Genomic DNA, 23,762 nt, shown 5'->3' with positions numbered 1-23,762 from the left:
CATTAAAAAAACACAGTTTTAGACTTTGTTATGGAGCAAATAGTCATGTTATTTTTTAACTATATTTTTGACTTTCTAAGAAGTAAAAGGCGATGTAAAGAAATAAATACAAATATTCAAAGGGCTATGGTTACTATTCGTATACCATAAGAAGTAGCTTTTTGATTTTCTGAGTCTGGGTTTACATTTATAAAGTACAAGAAAATGGTCTATTGAATAATGAATTTATTCAGATATAAATGTTTTAATGGCATGCATGCTATTACAGGTATCTGCCAGCATCATCACTCCCACCAGCACCTCAGCTAGTACCATGCCACATGATATACTAGCTTGACACTATTGGTTGCAGGGAGGTAGTTTTTTTAATGTAAGAGAAAATACTACTAATAATGACTACTTAATGAGTTTTCTCTCTACTATAATCTCTGTCTCTCCACCAACTGTCAGGGAAGTGACTCGTTGAGATGTTTTGAAATCAATGCAATTTTTGAAAAATTACTTTTACATGCAGAGCCTTACTTGATCCTCACAAAGCCATTGTATATTACATAAAGTTATTGTAATTTTCAAGGTAAGGTAAGACTACTGTGGCTTAGAAAGAGAATAGAGTCTAGGAACTCAAGCAAGTCATAGAATCACAAACATGCCCAGATCACCTGATATTCCAAGTTATTCTTGCTTCAAAACAGAATCCCCTTCTATTATGCATATATGCCTTCTGTAAAAATGAAATTACAATCTTAGGAATCACAATTATACAGATGGAGGAGCACTTACAAAACATTCTGTCTCTGTTGTCTAAACAGAGCTAGTGAGGAAACAGAGCTTATTTGTTTTATCTTATTTTAGTTGCCAAACAATAATTGTATATATTTACGGGATACAATGTGAAGTTTCTACACAAGTATACACTTTGTAATGATAAGATCAGGCTAATTAGCATATCCATCACCTCAAAAGCATGTCACTTCTTTGTAGTGTGAACATTTAAAATCTCTTGGAGCTACTTAAAAATATACAATATTATTAACTATAGTCACTGTGTTGTGCAACAGAACTTATTCCTCCCGTCTAAGTGTGAAATTTTGTACCTATTGACCAATTTCTCCCCATTCCCCATTCACTCTTTCTTCCCAATATTCTGTTCTCTACTTCTATGATTTCCACTGTTTTAGAATCAATATATAAGTGCGATTATAAGGTATTTATCTCTATGTTTTACACTTATTCACTTACCTTAAGGTCCTCTAGGTTCATTCATGTTAGCACAAATGGCAGGATTTTGCTCTTTTTAAGGGCTGAATAGTACTCCATTGGTATATATACCACATTTTCGTTATCTATTCCTCTGTTAATGGACAGTTATATTATTTCTATATCTTAGCTATTGTGAATAATGGTACAATGAACTTGGGACTGCAAGCATCTCTTTGACATCCTGATTTCAATTCCTTTGTGTATATGCCCAGAGGAGAGATTGCTGAATTATGTAATTCTGTCTTTATATTTGGTGATTTTTTTTCTTTAAGTACCATAGAGATCTTTTTTTATTCAGAAATTGTTTAATTTCAAAAATATTACGTGTAGATTCTTGTCCTGATAGTCATATTCACTTAATCCTCATAACACCTTTCATCATGCTTGCGTATTTCCTTCTAACTTGTAGGGGAAAAAGTATCTAAAATTCATCACCAGTAATTAATTCAAATTATGTACTGTGCTGTATACACAAAATGTTTCTTACTTTCACAAAGCTGGCAATTTTGTTTTGTTTCAGAGATGGTGAATTGTCTTTGAGTCGGTCACTTGTCAATAGCTCTGATAAAATCATTCGAAAGGCTGGCTCTTCAATCTTCCAGCACAATGTAGAAGGTTGGAAAATCAATTCCTCTTTGGTCCTAGAGATAAGGTGAGTTTCTTTACTAAGGCATAATAAATTTCACATCATGTTCTCAAATACGTTGGGCTTGGCAAACTTGTATTCAACACTGGATTTATGGTTTAAGTATGAATACTTAAATAAAAGAATGAACCAGCTCTATTTAATGTTGCTCACTGAAGAATATGAAACCATAAAACTGAAATCATTATATAGTCAGAGATTTAAGGATGAATATGTGAGTTTTGAATATATTGTCTTTATACTAATGGAATAAAATATTCAGCAGAGTACTGATATTTAACATACTTCACTCAATTACTCAGGATGGACATATATTTTAAGAATTATCTTTAACTTCCCTATTGAGTCTTCATTCTGCTTTTGGGTTTTCTCAACTAGCTGAAAATTAGAGCCTATTACACTCTATTGTGCTGACGATTATAAATAAATTAGTCTTATCCTGTGAATGAGTATTTCTGTGTGGGCTCATGTTTTAAAAATTGGATAAAAATCAGAAAATAAGCTTTCTAGATTACTGACTTCTTCTTTGTAAGACTAGTCATTTTAGCTGAAACCCACTCTTGAACTCATACTCCATGCCTACGTTTATCCAGTATGTAATTTTCTTCTGATATAAACCTGTTACTAATAAGAAAGCTAGAGTCATACCTTCTTAATTATGGAGGAAACAGGAAGATTGTTTTTTCTTTATAGTTACATTGCATTACTGTATTGGTTGGTATATTTGAATCACAGCATTTCAGTAAACAAGAACTCACTAAAAGTGTGAAAGAATACATTCGTTATATAATAAAATAATCCAAAAGTCAATTAATAGTTAGCATTAACACACAGATTTTATAGGTGTAGCTTAGTGACTAAGATATAAGGGGCTAATTAATTTTCCTGGGTTTCTACCTACTCACTTCTTGTATTATACCTACCTTTAATGTAGATTATAAGAAATTTGAAGGAAGAGTCTATTAGTCTATTACACTCATCTTTAGAGTATGCACAGAAATTTCACACAATGTTTTGGAGCAAAGATAATTACAGCATGTTGAAATTTACTTGAACGAATGTCTGGAAATTTTAAAAATATGGGCATCAGGGCGATGTAGGAATAGTATTACTACTTTGGTTTAAAGGTTTGAAATTGACTGGGAAGGGAAACAGGAATCAAATCATGGCAATGTCAAGTGGTGTGTGTTTGTTTGCTTTTAGTTTGGTGGGAGCTTTCTATATTCATGTGCCTCCTACAAGAATGAATAGATGAGTAGAGTCTGATGACAGAGCTCATAAATCAATGACTTCTGGGTAGAATATGGCCAGCAAGAAAAATTTATTTCCACTGGATAAATAAAAAAGAAACCTTAAAGCCAATATTAAAAACCAGGAGGCTTTAAAATAAAAGTACAGATTTCCATAAACTCTTGAGAAATTGAATGATTTGACAACTCTGAATCTGTACTCTTCCTAAGGTTTAGCTGGTTAAAGCTGACACTAGTCATGGTCTCTCAAGTTTGACATTTTCATACCTGGAGCTCACATCTTTCATGATACCTGTCAAGTGCATTCTTCTCTGTCGCATATCCCCATCCTTATATTTGAATTTAGAAACCCTGTGAGAGATGAGATAATTATGAGGAAAAAGTCACAAGATGTGAGTTGATGTGGGGTTATAAACACAGATATACTTTGGTTTAGAATGGAGTAAAGATTCATATTTCTTGAAGGTATATTGGAAAGAGAGAGAGATAGGTGATTAAATAGCAAAAATTTGATCTGTAAGCAGAAAAATAACTTTCAAATTGGATGGCTTAGCAAGAAAGGAGCCAATTAAGGCTATAGAGATCTGGTAAAGAAACCTGATGGAAGAAAGTAAAATAAAATGTTGTAATAGTTTAACTAGTATATCTAGCCATGCTAAATAATGTGTCAGATAGCAAAAAATCTAATAAGTAAATTAAATAAGTAATTGACACTAGTTCAAGTATTATATCTGGTCATGCCTTTCCTAATAGCTATATAAAAATCAAATACTATAAATAGGCTATATACATTTTGCTATTAATAACATATTCAAGTGAAGGGTAGTAAACCTAACTTGACCCAAAAGATTCGTATTACAATTTTACAAATCAATGAGCATTACATTCATGTATTTGAGGGTGATCTATTTTCAATTATAATAGCTGATAGTATGAATGAAATGTTAGTACTATTTTTGTATGGTTCTCCTTAACAGATTAAAGAAATAAACAATAAAACAATGAACAAATGTTGAATAATACATACAAAGTTGTCACTTCCTTGAAAGGAAAGGATAATTTGTAAAACCATTATTGTACAATGTGCAAAGAGTTCATAAAAATTAGAATTGGCTATAGCAGAAATGACTAGTGAGTATTAATCAGTTTGATACCTGTAATAAAAAAATTTAGAATATGAAAATATCTGACTGTTGGCTTAGCTTTTGCAAATATTTTTGAAAAGATATTAGAAACTAATTATGGATCATTTATTATTATTGTTATTATTTTCTTTCTTCCTCACTTTTCTGGCATTTAAGAATTTCCATATCACTTTGGGTCAGTGATTGGGTGTGGGTAAATTTTAAAAGTGTTTTCAAAATTCTACTTTTAAGTTTTTGTTTATTTTTATTTTTATTTATTTTTTATTTTACTTTAAGTTCCAGGATGTGTGCAGAGCATGCAGGTTTGTTACACAGGTACATATGTGCCATGGTGGTTTGCTGCACCTATCAACCCCTCATCTAGGTTTTAAGCCCTGCATGCATAAAGTATTTGTCCTAATGCTCTCCTCCCCTTGTCCATCACCTCCCGACAGGCCCGGGTGTGTGATGGTCCCCTCCCTGTGTCCATGTGTTCTCATTGTTCAACTCTCACTTGTGATTGAGAACATTAAGACATTATTTCCAACCATTTTTTTATCTTACTGATTCAACTATCATTATAAATCTTTGAAATTTAAAAATCTTATTAAACTTATAATGTTCTTATTATATTCCTAATAATTGTCCGCATAATAAAATGTGAAAACAGTTCCTGAGATAATTTTTTTTTACATTTGTGGATATGATTTTCAACCCTATTACTAATCCCTTTGTTCCCATATGCCTTATTTTATTTTCATAAGCACACCAAGAATCGGTTCATATGTATTCATCAAACAACTGTACTTCTATGCAATTGTCTATGAGAGATGGTTCTGTTACTTCACTGTACTTTGAGGATTCACGATATATGGAGTTTATGCATTCTACAGCTAACTTTGCACTCAAAATAATTATCTTAGTTTTAAGCCTTAATATTGTTGATAAAAGTTTGTTCTTTATTATTATAAGCTAAGAAATAACACATTTAAGATGCATTAAATGTTGTGAATAAATCTGTGAACATCGTACGGGAGATTATGTAGTTATGTCCAATACTTGCAACTTGACTTTTTTTCCATATTTGGATTATTTATTTTCTTTTTTTGTTATTGTTTTTTACATGTTGACTAGAAACCCCGAAAAGTGCAAACATCAATTATAGATGTATAGAAATGTACAAATGTACACATCAGGATAGCTTTATCACATCATAATTAGAAAAAATATTTCAGCTCTTAGTGTCATGATATATCAATAATCTGAAATACATAAAACCTGCAGGTTAACTAAACATAATTGCAAATTTATATATGCTTAACTGACAAGAAAAATTTCCTATTGCATACATAGATTTACTTTACAAAAACTTCTACATACAATGTTTATACTATCTTCTACTTGCTTTGATCAATAAGTTACCGATAGAGCTAATCTTGGGTCACAAAGCTTATTAGTGGCAGTGTCAAGATTCAAACCCAGACCTCCTGACTGAGGAACCAGGACCTTATAAAATAATTTTGTTAAGAATATATTTTAGTACCCAAATGTATATTATTAAAATTTATCATTATGGAATAAATGATTCTCTTTGCTCTAAAATAACAAAAGTCATTTTTCATTCAACATTACCAAATTCTGGACCAAATATCAAATGGCACTCTAGGGTGTAAATTAAACTAAAAATGCTCTTCATCAAATATTGTGGGACAATTTTGCCTTTTCATTTGTTGTGTTTAAGATTTTTTTTGACACTAAGATGTCTTTCCCATAACTGCTAGGACTTAGAAATCCTAAATAAGGTACAGTTAAACGTTTTATTCTTCCAGAGCTTTAAGACAAGTTGCCTTGCAAAAATAATCTTTCAAAACAAACAAATAAAAAATGTGTGTTCTCTCTGTTTTTTTGTAGGCATAATGAAACACTGGGCATTTTTTAGTTTTACTTTTTATTTTCTTTTAGTGAACTGGGTCAGTACTAACTTAATTTACAGTGATTTTTTTTTGTAGTCAGTGTCTAAAGTTTGCAAAAACTGATTCCTAACATATGTATCATAGCCTAATTTGCTTCTCAACTTGTGATACATTCCACCTATAAGATTCGTCACACAGTATTTTCTGATGGAGTTAACAATGTCATTTAGATTAAATTTTAGTTGCAACTGTGTGCTTATTATTGCCAAGAAACCCACAGAGAAGAGTGGCACTTGGTGATAACTTAGTTATATTTAACATTTCACGAGTGAAAACTTGTTACTAAACAATGTTTAGTAAATTAATTTTCTGGGATTCTGCAGTTGCTATTTCAAGTGATAGGTGACGTTGAAAGGGAAGTTCTAGTTGAAAATTCAGTTAAAAGTTTCTGGGTAGAACTCTACTTGTTGTCAGTTCAACAGTCCAAACCAACCTTTCAGTTTAAGGCTGATATTGCCTAACAAAAAAAATAGTTTTTATGACTAAGATATTTAGTTTCACTGAAAATGAAACAGATTTTCAGATTCCTTCAGTTATCTTTAATGTTAAAATAGTTGCTCAATTTAGGTGTTTGCTTATCTAATGAGGATTCAAAAGTTGAATTAGGATCACAAAATGACAGTTAAAGACCTGTGAAGGGTCTTTTTTTGTTTGTTCTTTTGAGTCATGCACAGAAAACACAACCCCTTGCTTTGAATATTGGGTAATAACTTGACCACGTACTAGGAAAACTTGTACTGGTAAAGCATGCATATTAAGCATTAGCTTTTGTTGATTCATGTGTCTCTAGATAGAGCGCAGATATTAAAGCCAGTTTTCTTTCTACCTCTCTCATTTCTGAAATAATTTTGTTTGACCTGCTGTTAAACAAAAATTTCTATCAATTGTCTTCTTAGCAAAAGCATATATGTTCTCCTTGGTGACATGTTGTTGTTTCAGTTCAGTTTAAGTACAGGAGTTTTCTATGCTTCCAATGACATTTAGCTAATTATACTTGAATTTTTTTTCATATTTATAGTCTGAACAACAACTAGACTTAGCAAATTCACAAAGCTTTTAATTCGCCATTACATCTACAATCTAAAAACTGTTTGCACTAGGAGATAAAAAACTAACCTTTTCTTACTGTTTCCAAAAATTATGAAGCACTTAAGTCATAATATTATTCACTCATAGTAATTACTTTCAGTCTTTCTTGGATCCTATAAATGGAATCTTAACTCAGATAATTTTCCATACGTAGAAGACCTAAAACAGAAACTGAAAGTTTGGTTCAGGAATAAGAAAAAACAAACAAACAAACAAACCCAGAGTCACTCAAGTTTACCTCTTTTTCTTTTTACTTTGTAAAATATCGAATTCCAAGTTTTGCCTAAGTTTTTTGTGTTTTTATATTTTGATTAGTCTATGTGAGTTGGTAGTCTTTTCTGTTTTGAAATCACTTTTACTATTTTCACTGCTTCAGTTGAAAAAATACTGCTGAGCCTATAACAACATTGGAAAAACACATAATTACAATCTGCATTTAGTAATTATTTATCTTATTAAGCATTAGTTTCTCCTAAGAGTTAGACAATATGATGTCTTTTAAAACTGTGCTTAACTCTTATAGTTCCCTTTTTAAATCATTTTTCCCTAAGAGTAAATAAAATAAAGAGGTTTACTTATAATCAGGAACTTAAAAGACATGTTTTACATTATTTTTGCAACTAACTGTCTATAACACAGCAAAGGTGCTGTTATTGGAAAGTCCATTTTGACGTTAGTTGACTAGCATGTGTTAACTTTTTTGACCAAATAAAATAGATTTTCCCTTTTGGATTTCCAAGCTACAGAGTCTTTTTTCAAATCAGGACCACTAGTTTACTCACTGCAGCTTGCAAACATGCCACTTCTTGGGAGTGTACATCTTCAAATAGATCTACAGCAACCCATTTAAATTATATTCAAAGAAAAACGATAACACCATCTAGCCTGATGATTTAACCACATCCGTGTAGTCTCTATTTTAGAGCCAGCCTTGTCGTTTTCACAGGAAATGAGAAATTTCTGTTGAAGTACAGGTGTCAGATATTAATTATTCACCAGACAAATAAGTGGTACTCAATAAATATATACAAAAAATTCTGTATATTGCCACTTTTGATGCTAGTTGTTAACTTTTGTGAAAAATCATTAAGTGCTTGACATAAACACTTTTCCAGTTTCTATAATGCATAAGCCCTAGGGTTGCTTATTTAAAATATAATTATCTTCTTATATAACCTGGACTTTGTTAAGATAAACTGTTATGGTGTGTCAGTGGTATTTCTATCAATTTTTGTGATTTCATTTGTAGAGCATTTGTATAGGATTTTCTGTACAAATTCTACTGGTTTTGAACCTGATATTCAGAATATTTGGGGAAAAAGATCATAACATTATTTTTTCAACTAGCTGGTGGACATATTTCTTGTTTATAAAATTAGAGCAGAGTTTTTCAATCACTTGGTTTTCTAATTAGAACAAATATTAAACTGGAAAATATTTAGAGCAAATCAAAATAAAGACAACAAAAGAAAAGATATGAGTTACTTTCCTCCCTTCTTTGCTAATCATGCTTATGCCTTCTGAGTTAGAGAATTACTCTTTTGATGGAGTCAAGGGATGAGGTTATATTCTGCTCTCACTAATAAAATTTACCAATTGTGATGAGCTTAAAAAATAAGAGCACTAGAGGAAAAATGTTTCCATCATATCTTAAATGTTATAATAATGACATTGTTTTTATTACTTTGAAAATACAAGCTTGCACTAAGAGCACTTTAGTAAATAATATCCAATTTCCAAACTAGGTGTAGCGTTTTCTCAAATTGCTTTTTGCTGGTATTATGTTGTATATCCCCTATTATGTTGGATACCCCTAGAATCAAACAATTCCAGACTTTTGTAGGCCAGGTTCATAGTTTGAGTCAAACACAACCCCCTGCTTTGAATATCAGGTAATAACTTGACCACATACTAGGAAAACTTGTACTGGTAAAGCATGCATATTAAGCATTAGATTTTGTTGATTCGTGTTTCTCCAGAGCTCAGATATTAAAGCCATATATATATATGTTTTTTTTTTTTTCCTTAAAATCTACTAGGGTCCCGGACTCTTCCCTTCTTGTTAGTTCCAGGTGTAAATAACCTCATCCAGTGATTTCTTCTGCTCACTGTTCTTAACCCTTGGAACTCTCCTCTAATTACTCTGACCTATCCTTTCCTCCTCTCAATTTAATGGCAGCTACCCTTAAGTCATTTTAATCTATGGACTTATATGGGAAGGCAATATCCCTTTTGCTGCCTGGATGGCTCCAATTTATAGTGGTATCTCTTGCTGATTGGGGTTACAGGAACATTTAAAAGGTCCCAATCAATAGACTCTCACACAGTTTAGATTACAGGCACTGCCAGATATGTATTCCCTTTCATCTCAGCATGCAAGTTAGTTGGCTATTTTATGCCTGACTTCACCTCTTCTAGTGCCTTACTAAAAGGAGAAACTAACATAAACGAACATACAGACACATTTTAAACAATTATTCAAGAACAACATATTTATTAGATGCATGGCACAACTTCCAAATTATTGAAGACAGCAACTGTATCAGGTGCTTCTCTATATCATGCCAAGGATCATCAGTTTTCCAGCCAGCTATATATATATATTATAATCATTTTCCATCATCTACCTACTTAGCATATGCATATATTTACGTTCATGTAGCCTCTCAATCTGTTATCAATTTATATATTAGGTATGGGCTAGGCTAAGTATTGACCAAAAAAGTAACCTTAAAATTTAGTGGCCAAACAAGTAGGAAATTTCTTTATTTCTCACTTAAACTCACATGATCCACTCATATACTATTTAATTAAGAAAACTAACTTGCATGACCCAACTGAGCTCTACTTGGGTTTTGAGACTTGCAAATATTCTAGCTGAGCATCCATGTGCCCAAGTAAAACTTAGAAGGTTCAAATATTAGAAGGAAGAAGAGAAAAAAGGAAACTAAGGAACAATTAGCTACCTCTGCCACACAGAGTCCAATGTTCTATCTATTCATTTTGTCTTTGATGTATCCATCTTACTTCCAGGACTCTTGATCTTAGAGAAAAAGTTGCATATACATCTATTGCTATAGTTTTAATTCTTCTTTAGATAATTATAATATACATATCATATGTATAAATGTATATAAGTTTGAGAAGTTCATTCCTTTTAATAGCATTAACTATGATACAATCAAAAACAATCTCAAATTATTTCTCTCCACCTTAACTAGATGATATTAAACAACACTTATGACTATCAAAATACGCTGAAGCTAGCAGAATAACTATTCAAAGTCAAGTCATGGCCACTGTGTTTTACTTAATAAACCAATTTTTCTATATATTTTGATAATTGGAGTGCTTTTTATAACTCCACAAATAGATGTTTATACTATATCTATGTATACAGTCATTAAGAATCTGTGCAAATGATTTTTAAAATTTTGTTTCTTATAGAATCGACTTAATTCATTGGTTTAATCACCACCTAAGATTCATAGCTTACCAATTTGGTAATCTAAGATTAATAGTTTGCCAATTTGTATTTTGTCTTAAGTTACTTTGTAAATGACACCATCAGTTCTTGGATATGCTGATGGTAATGTAAAACTTTGCTTGTATTTCAAATACAGGAAGAACATACTTCGTTTCTTAGATGCAGAACGAGATGTGTCAGTGGTCAAGAGCAGTTTTAAGCCTGGTGATGTCATACACTATGTGCTTGACAGGCGCCGGACACTAAACATTTCTCATGATCTACATAGCCTCCTACCTGAAGTTTCACCAATGAAGAATCGCAGGTTTAAGACCTGTGCAGTTGTTGGAAATTCTGGCATTCTGTTAGACAGTGAATGTGGAAAGGAGATTGACAGTCACAATTTTGTAATAAGGTGAGCTTTCTTCTGCTTTTTGAGATTGTAAGTTTTTCAAAGATATTTTACTTGGGGGTGGAAAACTGTTAGAAAATTTTAAAGTATTACTAAAACCTCAAACAAATATTTGTCTATGATATCCTTTTCTGTGCAACATTTAAATTACATTTACCCTGGAATAGAATATTATAATTATTGCGTAGTTGAAAGAAAAAGTGATCCTGTCATAGCAACAAGATTCACACAGCTTTTTTTGGTGAGGTGAGGGGGGAGGCAAATGGCAATTTTATTAAATTTAATATTCCACACAAACTTTTTTCTTAGTATCTCTTCTTCATACTCATTAGTTTTGTGTGATTTTATTTGTTGTATAAAGATTATGAATATTACTATGGAATGATGTAATAGATTTATGTTAATGTTACTTTTTATTAATAATTATCTAGGAGATAGTAAGAACATAGTTTAGCAAGTTTATATTTGATATCCTGAGCCATATTTCTTTAATTTCTCTTTATATGTGGTATTTGTGTATGTTAGTATATTTGAATTTTATGTTTTTTTAACATAATTAAGCGTGCATGTTTGTTTTTCATTAACGGTTAAAAGATATTTGATGAATTGTGTGTTTGATTAACCTATTAACTGAAAAAAACTCAACAGTAGAAATGGAATTATAATCACATCATAAATATAAGCAGTTTTTAATGATCAATTTTTATATCTGTACAGTTTTTTTGGATTGTTTTAGTTCCTTAGAAAAATTAGCTAAATGACAGAAACATGGATATTGAAATATGAAATAGTACAATATAAAGATAGATAGAAAAGTATGCTGAGTTGACATGTTGAAAAACACAGTCTCTTGAAGATATACTGGAATACATTATTTTTGAATATTTTGAATATTTTTTGAATATTTTTAAATAAAGTCTTAAAAGCATAAATAGGTAACTACTTTTAAAAAAAAAGTCATGAGAAATCACACTCAAGCATTATCAAGTGAAGAAAATTCATAATAGCAAATAAAACTGCAAACATTTTACCTTATTATCTTTCCTTTTCTCTCTTGGGTGAAGGGTCAGAGATTAATGTGAAATCAATTTAGCTTTTTAAAACTTGAACTGTTAAACTAATTAGACTATAAGAGAAACCTTGTGAACAAGTAGATACAAACAAAGACAATTGTATAGAAAGAAGATGTAAAAAATTTGATGAGGGAATGGCAATGGAAGTGGAAATCAGGAGCTTCAAATGTCGAAGTCTATGCGAAGTATAGCTGTGAAAAAATGTAAGGCCTCTAGAATTTCTGATGTGACTAAATCATAAGTCAGGTAAAACAAAGAAGTAACGATGTCAAGGCATAATCAAAATTGTTGCAATGTAAGGATTTCAACAATCGCAATAGGGAATTTTAAAAGGTGATAATACTGGAGGAAAATAGAGTCTAAATGACTTCTTATTTCTGTGTCCCTCTAAACTTTGACACTGGGGGCCAAGTTGTTAGATTTAGCCCCACCTGTGACTCTGAAATGAAGACTGCTTTTACATGTGGGTAATGAGAGAGGCCTGATGGCAGTAGTCCTCAAAGTTTGTATCATTTCCTTATTGCTTCCTGATCTGGCTTTGTTACTCCAGTTTCTATTGACTGGGATTTTGCATTATTTCAATTCCTAAACTACTGAGTTCTTATCTCACATGGAATTGTGTGTCCAATAAGTAGGTTCCTACACTCTTTCTCTGTCTTAAGAGTGGCTGGTGGCCAACCTTGCTTCATATTACCACCTCTCACTTTCACTTTTCCTGCCTTCAATTTCTAGAAGTTATATAGCCTGCATATATCTCACTTCCCTGCAATTGGCTATGGCAAGCCTATAGGTTTCCAGATTTCTGGGATGTAGTCAACCTGTGAATAAAATTCTGATCCCAAAAAATCTTTCTGTCCACCTCTCTTATTCTAAAATTGAAGCCTATTTTCTCTTTCACTGGCCAAGCAGCAACTGGCCACTTGATGGTATTGCCTTCACAGCTCTACTATGGACTACTGGGCATTTAGACCACTACTAAGCTACTCTGGTGCTACTCCAGCAAAATGCCTAGAAGTTGATATTGTACATATATTTTCTCTTCCTTTTATGTTTTAGGCACCTAATTTCATGCCTACTTTTTAGATTTAAAACCCTATAATCTGCCGTATATTAATGCACTCCAATTTCAATTTGGAATATTGATCATTCCTGTAGTAACCCAACTCCAGTGATGTTCAGTAAACTGGTTTAACTGTTTTTACTCCATATTTTGTGGCTCCTAGATTCTTTATCTACCTTATTGCTAACTATCAGATGGATTTGAATGTCTATTCTTAGTTTCTTGTCCACTATTGTCAATCAACAGATCTAATTTTTTAGCAGAATAGCCTTAGCACTTCCTTAAGTGGTGTATTAGTCCATTTTCATGCTGCTGATAAGGGCGTACCTGAGACTGGAAAGAAAAAGAGGTTTAATTGGACTTACAGTTCCACATGGCTGGAAGGTTTCAGAATTATGGCGGGAGGTGAAAAGCCCTTCTTACATGGCAGCAGCTAGAGAAAATGAGGGAGATGCAAAAGCAGAAACCCCTGATAAAACCATCAGATCTCGTAAGACTTATTCACTACCACGAGAACAGTATAGGGGAAACTGCTCCCATGATTCAAATTATCTCCCACTGGTCCCTCCCACAACACATGGGAATTATAAGAGTACAATTTGAGACGAGATTTAGGTGAGGACACAGCCAAACCATATCATTCCACCCTGGCCCCTCCAAATATCATGTCCTCACATTTCAAAACCAGTCATGCCTTCCCAACAGTCCCCCAAAGTCTTGACTCATTTCAGAATTAACCCAAAAGTCCACAGTTCAAAGTTCCGTCTGAGACAAGGCAAGTCCCTTCCGCCTATGAGCCTGTAAAATCAAAAGCAAGCTAGTTACTGCTTAGATACAATGGGAGTACAGTTATTGGGTAAATACAGCCGTTCCAAATGGGAGAAATTGGCCAAAACAAAAAGGTTACAGGGCCTGTGCTAGTCTAAAATCCAGTGAGGCAGTCAAATTTTAAAGCTCCAAAATGATCTCCTTTGATGCCAGGTCTCACGTGTAGGTCACGCTGATGCAAGAGGTGGGTTCCCATGGTCTTGGGCAGCTCCGCCTCTGTGGCTTTGCAGGATACAGTCTTCCATCCAGTTTCTTTCACGCACTAGCATTGAGTGCGGCTTTTCCAGGCAAACGGTGCAAGCTGTCTGTGCATCTACCATTCTGGGGTCTGAAGGATGGTGGCCCTCTTCTCACAGCTCCGCTAGGCGGTGCCCTAGTAGGGATTGTGGGAGGGGTGGGGGGCTCCAACCTCACATTTCCCTTCCACACTGCCCTTGCAGAGGTTATCCGTGAGCACCCCGCCCCTGCAGCGAACTTCTGCCTAGGCATCCAGGCATTTCCATACATCTTCAGAAGTCTAGGCAGAGGTTCCCAAACCCCATTTCTTGAGTTCTGTGCACTCACAGGCTCAACACCTTATGGGAGCTGCAAAGGCTTCGGGCTTACACCCTCTGAAGCCACAGCCTGAGTTCTACATTGGCCCCTTTCAGCCATGGCTGGAGCAGCTGGGATGCAGTGCACCAAGTCCCTAGGCTGCACACAGGGATCCTGGGCCCAGCCCGTGAAACCATTTTCTCCTAGGTCTCCAGGTCTGTGATGGGAGAGGCTGCCATAAAGACCTCTGACATGCCTTGGAGACATTTTCCCCATTGTCTTAGGGATTAACATTCTGCTCCTTGTTACTTATGAAAAATTCTGCAGCCAGCTTGAATTTCTCCCCAGAAAATAGGTTTTTATTTTCTATCACATTGTCAGGCTGCAAATTTTCCAAACTTTTATTTTATTCAGTTTCTCTTCTAAAACTGAGTGCCTTTAACAGCACCCAAGTCACCTCTTGAATGCTTTACTGCTTAGAAATTTCTTCTGCCAGATGCCCTAAATCATCTCTCTCAAGTTCAAAGTTCCACCAATCTCTAGGGCAGGGGCAAAATGCCACTAGTCTTTTTGCTAAAACATAAAAAGAGTCACCTTTGCTCCAGTTCCCAACAAGTTCCTCATCTCCATCTGAGACCACCTCAGCCTGAACCTTATTATCCATATTGCGATCAGGCTTTTGGTCAATGCCATTCAACAAGTCTCTAGGAAGTTCCAAACTTTCCCACATTTTCCTGTCTTGTTCTGAGCCCTCCAAACTGTTGCAACCTCTGCCTGTTACACGGTTCCAAAGTCGCTTTCACATTTTTGAGTATCTTTTCAGCAACACCCCACTCTACGGGTACTAATTTACTGTATTAGTTTGTATTCAGCTGCTGATAAAGACATGCCTGAGACTGGGAAGAAAAAGAGGTTTAATTGGACTTACAATTCCACATGGCTGGAGAGGCCTCAGAATTATGGTGGGAGGCGAAAGGCCCTTCTTACATGGCGGTGGCAAGAGAAACTGGGGAAGATGCAAAAGCGGAAACCCTAGATAAAACCATCAGATCTCATGAGACTTATTCACTACCCTGAGAACACTATGGGTGAAACCACCCCCATGATTCAAATTCTCTACCACCAGGGCCCTCCAACAATATGTGGGAATTATGGGAATACAATGCAAGATGAGATTTGGGTGGGGACCCAGCTAAACTATATCAAGTGAGAACCTCATTGAGTCAACAGTTGTATTTTGACCTTATACTTTTTCTGTGTGCAATGTGTGCTTTACTTTCTTTTAGATTTCATGAGTATTCTATAATATATATATATTTACATCCAAACTTTAAAAGATAAAATTCCTTGCCTAGATAACTAGTAATATTAAGTAGTGTGAAAAAAATACTTTTAAAACTTTGAGAATAATGTTGACATAGTTAACAAACTAGAATTTTCTCTCATTGGTATTTCCCAGGCGCTTTCTCTTCTCAGAGAACGGATGACCTCAGATGAACTAAAATGAGAGTTATTATATAAGAATATATGCCACACAAAATACTAACTTTCTCAATTCAAAATAGACTTATCTCTATACTTTGTAATACAAGAGTTCTTTGACAATTCAAACAGAGTTTATAAACTTAAAAACAAGATAGGCTTGCTGGAGTTTTAATTTATATTTTTGACTTTGGAACATCACCGTGGATTTTTCAAACACATTTCTGTAAATCTACAACCTACTTCAGTCTACCTCCCACTGTTGGTGAATTTCCTACATGAGTCTTACCTGCATACAAAATCAGAAATTTTAGAGTGGAGAAAGAATCTGCATCTTTGAAAAGCACATATATGGGGAGTTGACACTTAATTCACTATAATGTAGAAATTTAGTGAATGTAGATATATGTGTTTTATGTATATCTAACTCAGATAACTATGTCTTAGAGTGTCAGATTCATATACACACCCACAGGCACATACAAATATCTTATTTAATTATTTTATGGTAAATATGAATGAGAAAAATTGAAATTGCCATAAAAGTGCCTTGACCCCTTTTTCTTCTTAGCATTATATCACCAATTAATCAGCAAATTCTATAGATATTACCTTCAAAAAATATCAGGAGTCAAATGATTTCTCATGACATCCACTGCTGTCACCCTGGTAAAAGCCAACATCATCTCTTGATTAGAACTCTACAATAGTTCCTTAACTGATGTGACGGGTTGCATTCTTGCTCCCTGTTCCCAAAGCCAAAGTCTCTCTTCATCATAAAGCAGCTTCTTACCACACTCTATAAAATACTAATATCTTGCCAGTAACAATAAATGAGGTAATCTGAAGCTTCAGGGACAGACGATGTGCCTGCCAGTCATTTTCCCTGAAACCCTCTTACCCACATACCTATGGGTGGTTTTACCCCTTATTTGGGGGAAAGGATGAGGGTCTATGCTTGTACAGAATATCCTCTGCAAGTCTTCTCTGACTGTAATATCAGAAACACCCCCTACCACTGTCACCATCTGTCACTATCTCTTTACCCTTCCATTTATGTATTTATTTTTGCATTGTATGTTTATTTATTTATTGTTTATCTTTACAACTAGAATATGCAAGGCAAGCTTTGCCTGCATTTATCCCTTTTTTAATCTCAGACCCTAGTAAAGAGTCTGACATATTTATATATTCTATAAATATTTGCTAGAGGTAAGCAAGAAGGCATGTAGTAAGAAAGAAAAGAAGAAAGGGAGGGAAAGAGGAAGGAAGTAAAGGAGAGAGGGAGGGAGAGGAGGGAGAAAAGTGTTCTATCATGGTCTTCCGTCATCCATCCCACCTTGCATGAATGATAATCCCTTATACAAACTTCAATATTACCATAATAATGTACTTGGTTGTCTGGGATGAGTGGCTGTCACATCATCTCCTCCAAAACTACAGCTCATCTAGTCATCATCTCCTCTAAAACCTTAGGTGACCAAGTTTCAGAGCAGGATGCAAATTCTTCCTACAGTAAATGCAGAAGCTGTCTTACTCTGTCTTTCATGGAGAAACATATATTTGGCATCTGTTGTTTGCCTTTTAGCCCACCATCTCACCAAGCAAAACATGAGGATCTCTGCTTTGCGTGCCTCTTTGTTTTCTCGTATTAACATATTTTTAAACTTACAGTATATAGTCTATAATTCCAAATTTATAGAATGTATCTTATGAAACAATTTGCATGAAGTTGAATTTACATAAACTCAGTGTCTTACAACCTAGAGAAATGTTGTAAGGTAGAGGCTACTTTACATGTGCACATCTGAAATCTTTTGATAACTAGATTTTTTTTCTAAACTATCGTCATCTCTATTATATTATTCCTTTAAAGACACAACATCTCTATTATTTCTTTAGAGGTAAAACATTCCTTTATATTATATTTAAAGATGATAAAATTAAAAGCAAATATATTGGGCTCTACAAATTCAAATTTTTATGAGCTTAACTTTCAAGAACAATTTCTAAACCTTTCTCTATAAATTTGCAATGTAGAAATGAGTTGAATAGCCACAGAATTTACTGATTTGTGCTTGAAAATTTGTAAATGGCAGAGTACACTTAGGACTAGGAGTTTAGGAGTCTCTTGATATTTTAGCAGCTGTGATTGTTTAAAAAGATTACTTAATAAGAACTAAATAGTGACCAATTGAAGTTCATAATGTATTCTGGACTTACCAAGAAGTATAGAAAGGTAAAGATAAGCATCTTAGTGAAGGCACAAAAATTATCACCATGATCATTTTTGATTTGTTCTATATTTTTACTACTTTCCAAAAATAGAAGTTAGAATGTTGTAGATTAAATTATTTGCTAGGGCTCTACTGTCTTTCATGCGGTACGGGATTATAGATTTGGCATCTGTTGTTTGCATTTTGTCTCACCCTCTCACCAAGCGAAACATGTGGTACTGCCTACCACATAATATAATCTACAACATTCTACAACAAAATTTCTGATTTACCACAAAAAATCAGATTTTCTAATGAACACTTTAGAAAGTATCTACATTTTAGAAACAATATCTACAGAAAAACCATCTTTTGTTACTTAATAGCTAGTTGAGAAATTCATTCCTTTGAGTTTAATTTTATCATTTTATTATGAAATTGTACGTGATCACTTACTGTATTCTACAGTGTTTAATTGTGGAGATACTTGAAAACTTTTCTCAGTACCTATGAGCTGAAAAATATACTCTTTTATTGTAGGAAGCAATAAGCAAAACACTGATAGTTGGTTATTATTAAGTAGTTGATGGTTGTATCAAGGTTCAATTAGCACTTAAGAGTCATCATTACAAACAAAAAAATGAGCAAAAGTAATGCCTGGGAATAAAAACTTTGCAGCCCAGCACAGTGGCTCATGCTTGTAATCCCAGCACTTTGATAGGCTGAGGCAGTTGGATCACCTGAGGTCGGGAGTTCGAGACCAGCCTGACCAACATGGAGAAACCCCATCTCTACTGAAAATACAAAATTAGCCAGGCCTGGTGGTGCATGCCTGTAATCCTAGCTACTCAGGAAGCTGAGGCAGGAGAATCTCTTGAACCTGGGAGGCCGAGGTTGCAGTGATCAGAGATCGCTCCATTGCACTCCAGCCTAGGCAACAAGAACGAAACTCCATTAAAAAAAAAAATCTTTGTCACTTCTGAATAAAGACTGTCACTTCTTGTGAAGAGGCATGTGACCTCATTCTTCTCATTTGATTAATTAGGCCACTCCTAAGAATATATCCTTCAAACCATCAAGCCGAAAAATGAGGTGCTATGTCTGGCAATATTAATGATGAACCAAACTCTCCCAGTGCCTAAACTCCCTATAAGTTAGATCCTTTTCAAAGGTTAATTAATAGCCATTTGAATTTCTGAAATCAAATCATTATTTGAGGGGTAGTAAAGACGGAGGAGTAAAACAGAATCCAATGCCAACCCATTTTCCCAAAGACAAAAGTTAATTTCAGCTCACAAATACCAATTTGTAATTGATAGGTGGAGAGTGTGACCATAATTTAAATATAGAGTATATGAAACAAAAATCAAAGACAATTTTGATAATAATTTTAATAATAGAAGCTCTCCATAATCACGTGTAAGTGTTCAACCAATAGACTTTGGATTATTTCTTCTGGTACTACGTTTTCCCTTAGGATGATATCTATTTTCTGTTTTGAGGGTCATATTGTGCTACCTCTTAACATTCTTAGATTTGTAACAACCCTTGAAAATACAAAATTCTAATCTGAATTATGAACATAAACCAGTCACTTCATTGTGGACACGAGATCTTCAATGACCTATTGTCATACCAGACTTTCTTTCTTCCTTACAACTCTTGTTCTTCTTGTTGCCTTCTGACTCATTATTTGTGTAACAAACACATTTCCTTCCTCAAGTGTATGCGTAGCCCTTTGTTATTGCCAATGTGTCTCCTCTACTTTAGAAGGTCCAGAGAATTTTTGCTTCAAATTTAATCAATCCTCATTATTCTTTCTTGAAATAGTTTCCTAGCCACATTGAACTGGTTAAAATTATTACAAAATTTCAGTAATAATTTTTAGAATCCCTAGAATTTTTTATTATCCTGGAGATGTGTATATATCTGCATAGCTGTAGATATGATTGATTTGTTGGATGGTTGGTTTTACAGTCTGTGTTTCCACTTTTTTGTTTCTCACTTTTCATTTAACACAGTAAATTTGTTGAGAGAGAGAGGGAGAGATAAATTATACCTGGTTTACTTGCAGTGGGCACTAATTAGTACAGTAACTCCTTAAGGATAAGATTTACCCAAGTATTATACTCAAGTTGACCTCTAACTTTATAAACCAAGGTACTCTCTTAGTGGCTGTTTGTATCATTCATTAATCAATTACGTTAAATAATGCTTTTAATGGGGTATTTCAAAAAATGAGAGTCCTGGTCAATATCATTACATGATGCTTAAAGTTAAAAAAAGAAACAGAAAAAAATAGGAAAATAAATTAAAGCTCAATTTTCATTTCCTACCGAGTGACTCAATATCAAACTGATTTCTAAAATTTAGGTCTCATGTACATATATCCCTAAATAACAGAAAAATAATCATAAGAGTAAAATTCTTATTTCTTAACAAAAATGTCTAAAACTCTAATTTAAGTAAGAATTTTAAATACACTGTGATCAATGTTTTTATATGTGGAACTCTAAAAATGCCTAGTATTTTTACGAGATTCCTTAAATAGCAAATACCATGTTTCAAAGAAAGAAGATTGGCTAAGATAGAAAAACAAAGGAAGCCAGTCATTGGCTAGGTTAAAGATATCTTACTTCTTGTCCGGCAGTACCCTCTGATAAGAAAGGTTTATAAAAAAAGATAATGTCCTTGTAATACTAAGATTTTGTCATATGATTACAGACAAGCAAAATTTTGACAAATTTGGTTAGGCATTGATGTGCCATTTATGTACCATTTCTCACCTGCTTGAGGAAAAAAAGCAAATGGGAGCATAAAAGAAAATATTGTTTTGGTATTATTCCTTAGACGTATCTCTTCAAAGATTGATAGGAATTCTGAATACTCTTGATGAACTACCTTAAAACTGCAGAAAATGATGATTTTCCCCTATGAGATTCTGTATGAAAGAATGTTCAGTTACATATATAATTCGATCTCTCATATTCTCTTTTTCATCTCTGGGATAATTTCTTTTATCCTTCAGATAACATCTGTATTTCTGGTATTATTAAATACAGAGGAGTATAGTTTTAGGCTTTATGTCTTTGTTTTATTAACTAATAAAAGAGAAATTCCAAATATTCAGTTGACTAATGCTACACTTCTAACATCAATAGTAATATTGTGTGCAGAAGAAGGTATAATATATGTGATTTTAAAATTGTAAAACACTAAAACACTACTTGATACCACTACTTTTAACATTAGTAAATTTGGGAACCTCTAGAACTAGTTCCCTAAAATTTGTCTCAACAAGAGTCCACATTAATGAAAATTCTATCAACTGAAATACATTGGTTTTATATTTTTCTTGTAAACATTTAAAGAGAAAATTAGCTGTTAAAAGATAAACGTCAAGTTTATTTTATCAAAAACACTAACACTTGTTACATTATTTTATTTATACAATAAACTTTCAAGAGGACCAACCAAGAGCCAGTCATGAACAGTGCCCAATTACAGAAATGAACATCTACATTCATTCTTAAAGGACAACCTGTGCTGTGTGGGGTGAGGAATAATCACTACAATTCAGAGTCTCCAAAGACACATACCACATTTAAAATATTTGTCTACGGCCAGGTTTATTATTTCCAATAATGCAGAGGGACTAATAGAATGTTTGAAAGAGAAATTAAGGTATGCTTCCAATGCTGAATGAGGTGTTCCCACTCAGAACTTTATCTGAAGTCTTTGAGATATGTCAGGATAACTAATTAGGTTACTAATCTTTAGATATCACACATAATAAATTTTAAGAAGATATCATTGGTCACGTTAAAGTTTTATTTAAGTGCCATAAGCTATCAGCATTCTACTCTACACCAACCAGAACACTGCCAACATCTACACACCTTATATAATTAACTATTAACAGATTCAGTCACCATCATAAGGGGCTGAAAAATATTCAACTGACTAAAACCCTGGTGGTCTCTACCTACCTGTACTGTAGAATACTTTGACCCACTTTTAGACTTTACATACAGTTCAGGGGATTGTCTAGTACATATCTGAGCTGAATTTAACTTACATAACACTTCTTTAATGCCACATAAAATGGAATAATGATAGAATCTTTATTAAGTTAAATAAAAGCTAGTAAGCATTAGAAAAATTGTCCAATTGATATTATTTTTTAAATTTTGCACTTGGATTGTTTGATGTGCTAAATATCATGTAAACATAGAGATAGATAGATGATAAACAGAGATGACAGATAGAAGCTGAGCACAGTGGCTCATACCTGTTATCCCAGCACTTTGTCAGGCCTAGGTGGGAAGATTGCTTGATTCCAGGAGTTTGAGACCAGCCTGGGCAACATGATAAAACTCCTTCTCTAAAAAAATTAAAAAATTAGACAGGTTTAGTGATGTGTGCCTGTAGTCCCAGCTACTCAGGAGACTGAGGTGAGAGGATCACTTGACCCCGGGAGGTTGAGGCTGCAGTGAGCCATGATGGTATCACTAGACTCGAGCCTGCATAAAAGAGCAAGAACAAGAGCAAGACCCTGTCTCAAAAAAAGGAAGAAAAAAGAGATGACAGGCAGAGAAATATAGAGAGGGGAGAGGGGAAAAGGAGAGGGAGAGAGAGGAAAAGGCACAGAGAGAGGACATAAAAATATGAATCAAATTGATGCTGTGCTGCACTGAAAAGCATCACTTCAGATATAGTCCAAGAGTCCAATCAGAGTTTATTGTAGGTGATATTGGATGAAGTTTTTAGCTTTTCTATATTTAGTTTTCTAATTTACAAACTGAGATTAATATATGTACTCTTTCTGTCTACCTGGAGTTTTACAACTTACCTATTATAGAGACCACAGAGTGATAGAATTGCTCCTACAAAATCCTTGCCTCAAGTGTACCCCCACCATGTATGCTTATTTGTCAAAAAGTGTGTTGTAAAATTTCAAGAATTGAGAGTTTGAAAGATTGCATATATCATTTATATATCACCATAGGTAAAGGAAAACAGGTTTAGAAAGATTCCCTCATACAATCTGTATAAAGTGTCTTTCAAAACCTTTCTTAGGTTCTTTCTCTTTGAGTACTTTTGAAATTAATGTAATAGTGTATATATTACATTAAGGAATTTAATTTGTTGGTTGTGAAAATTGTTTTGAATTTTGCAAAGCAATGCTTAAAGTGCTTTTACATTTTTTCTGTAGTTATCTTTCAAGTTTTTACATAATCTACTCTCATAAGTATCTACATAAAAGCATATTCTAATATTTGTACTAGCTATACTCAATAATTTCACAACAGTGGTTTTCAATAAAAAATATTCATATATTTCCTAATA

General features: G+C 33.7%; 1 protein-coding gene across 4 annotated transcripts in view; it reads left to right on the top strand.

The window, feature by feature from the left end:
• Positions 1-23,762, top strand: part of ST8SIA4 (ST8 alpha-N-acetyl-neuraminide alpha-2,8-sialyltransferase 4) — a 96,350-nt gene that overhangs the window by 5,717 nt on the left and 66,871 nt on the right. For 3 of the 4 annotated variants that reach the window (XM_011543630.3, NM_005668.6, XM_005272078.4), the window contains exons 2-3: positions 1,781-1,912; positions 10,966-11,223. In XM_011543630.3, the coding sequence (XP_011541932.1) occupies positions 1,781-1,912; positions 10,966-11,223 (390 nt within the window). Of the gene's footprint in view, positions 1-1,780; positions 1,913-10,965; positions 12,256-23,762 lie in introns of those variants that run through there. The other variant, NM_175052.3, reaches the window with a different exon arrangement.

This window comes from Homo sapiens, chromosome 5, assembly GCF_000001405.40.
Source record: "Homo sapiens chromosome 5, GRCh38.p14 Primary Assembly".
NCBI lineage: Eukaryota > Metazoa > Chordata > Mammalia > Primates > Hominidae > Homo > Homo sapiens.
The sequence above is the reverse complement of the archived record's forward strand: the minus strand, read 5'-3'. Positions and strand labels throughout refer to the sequence as shown.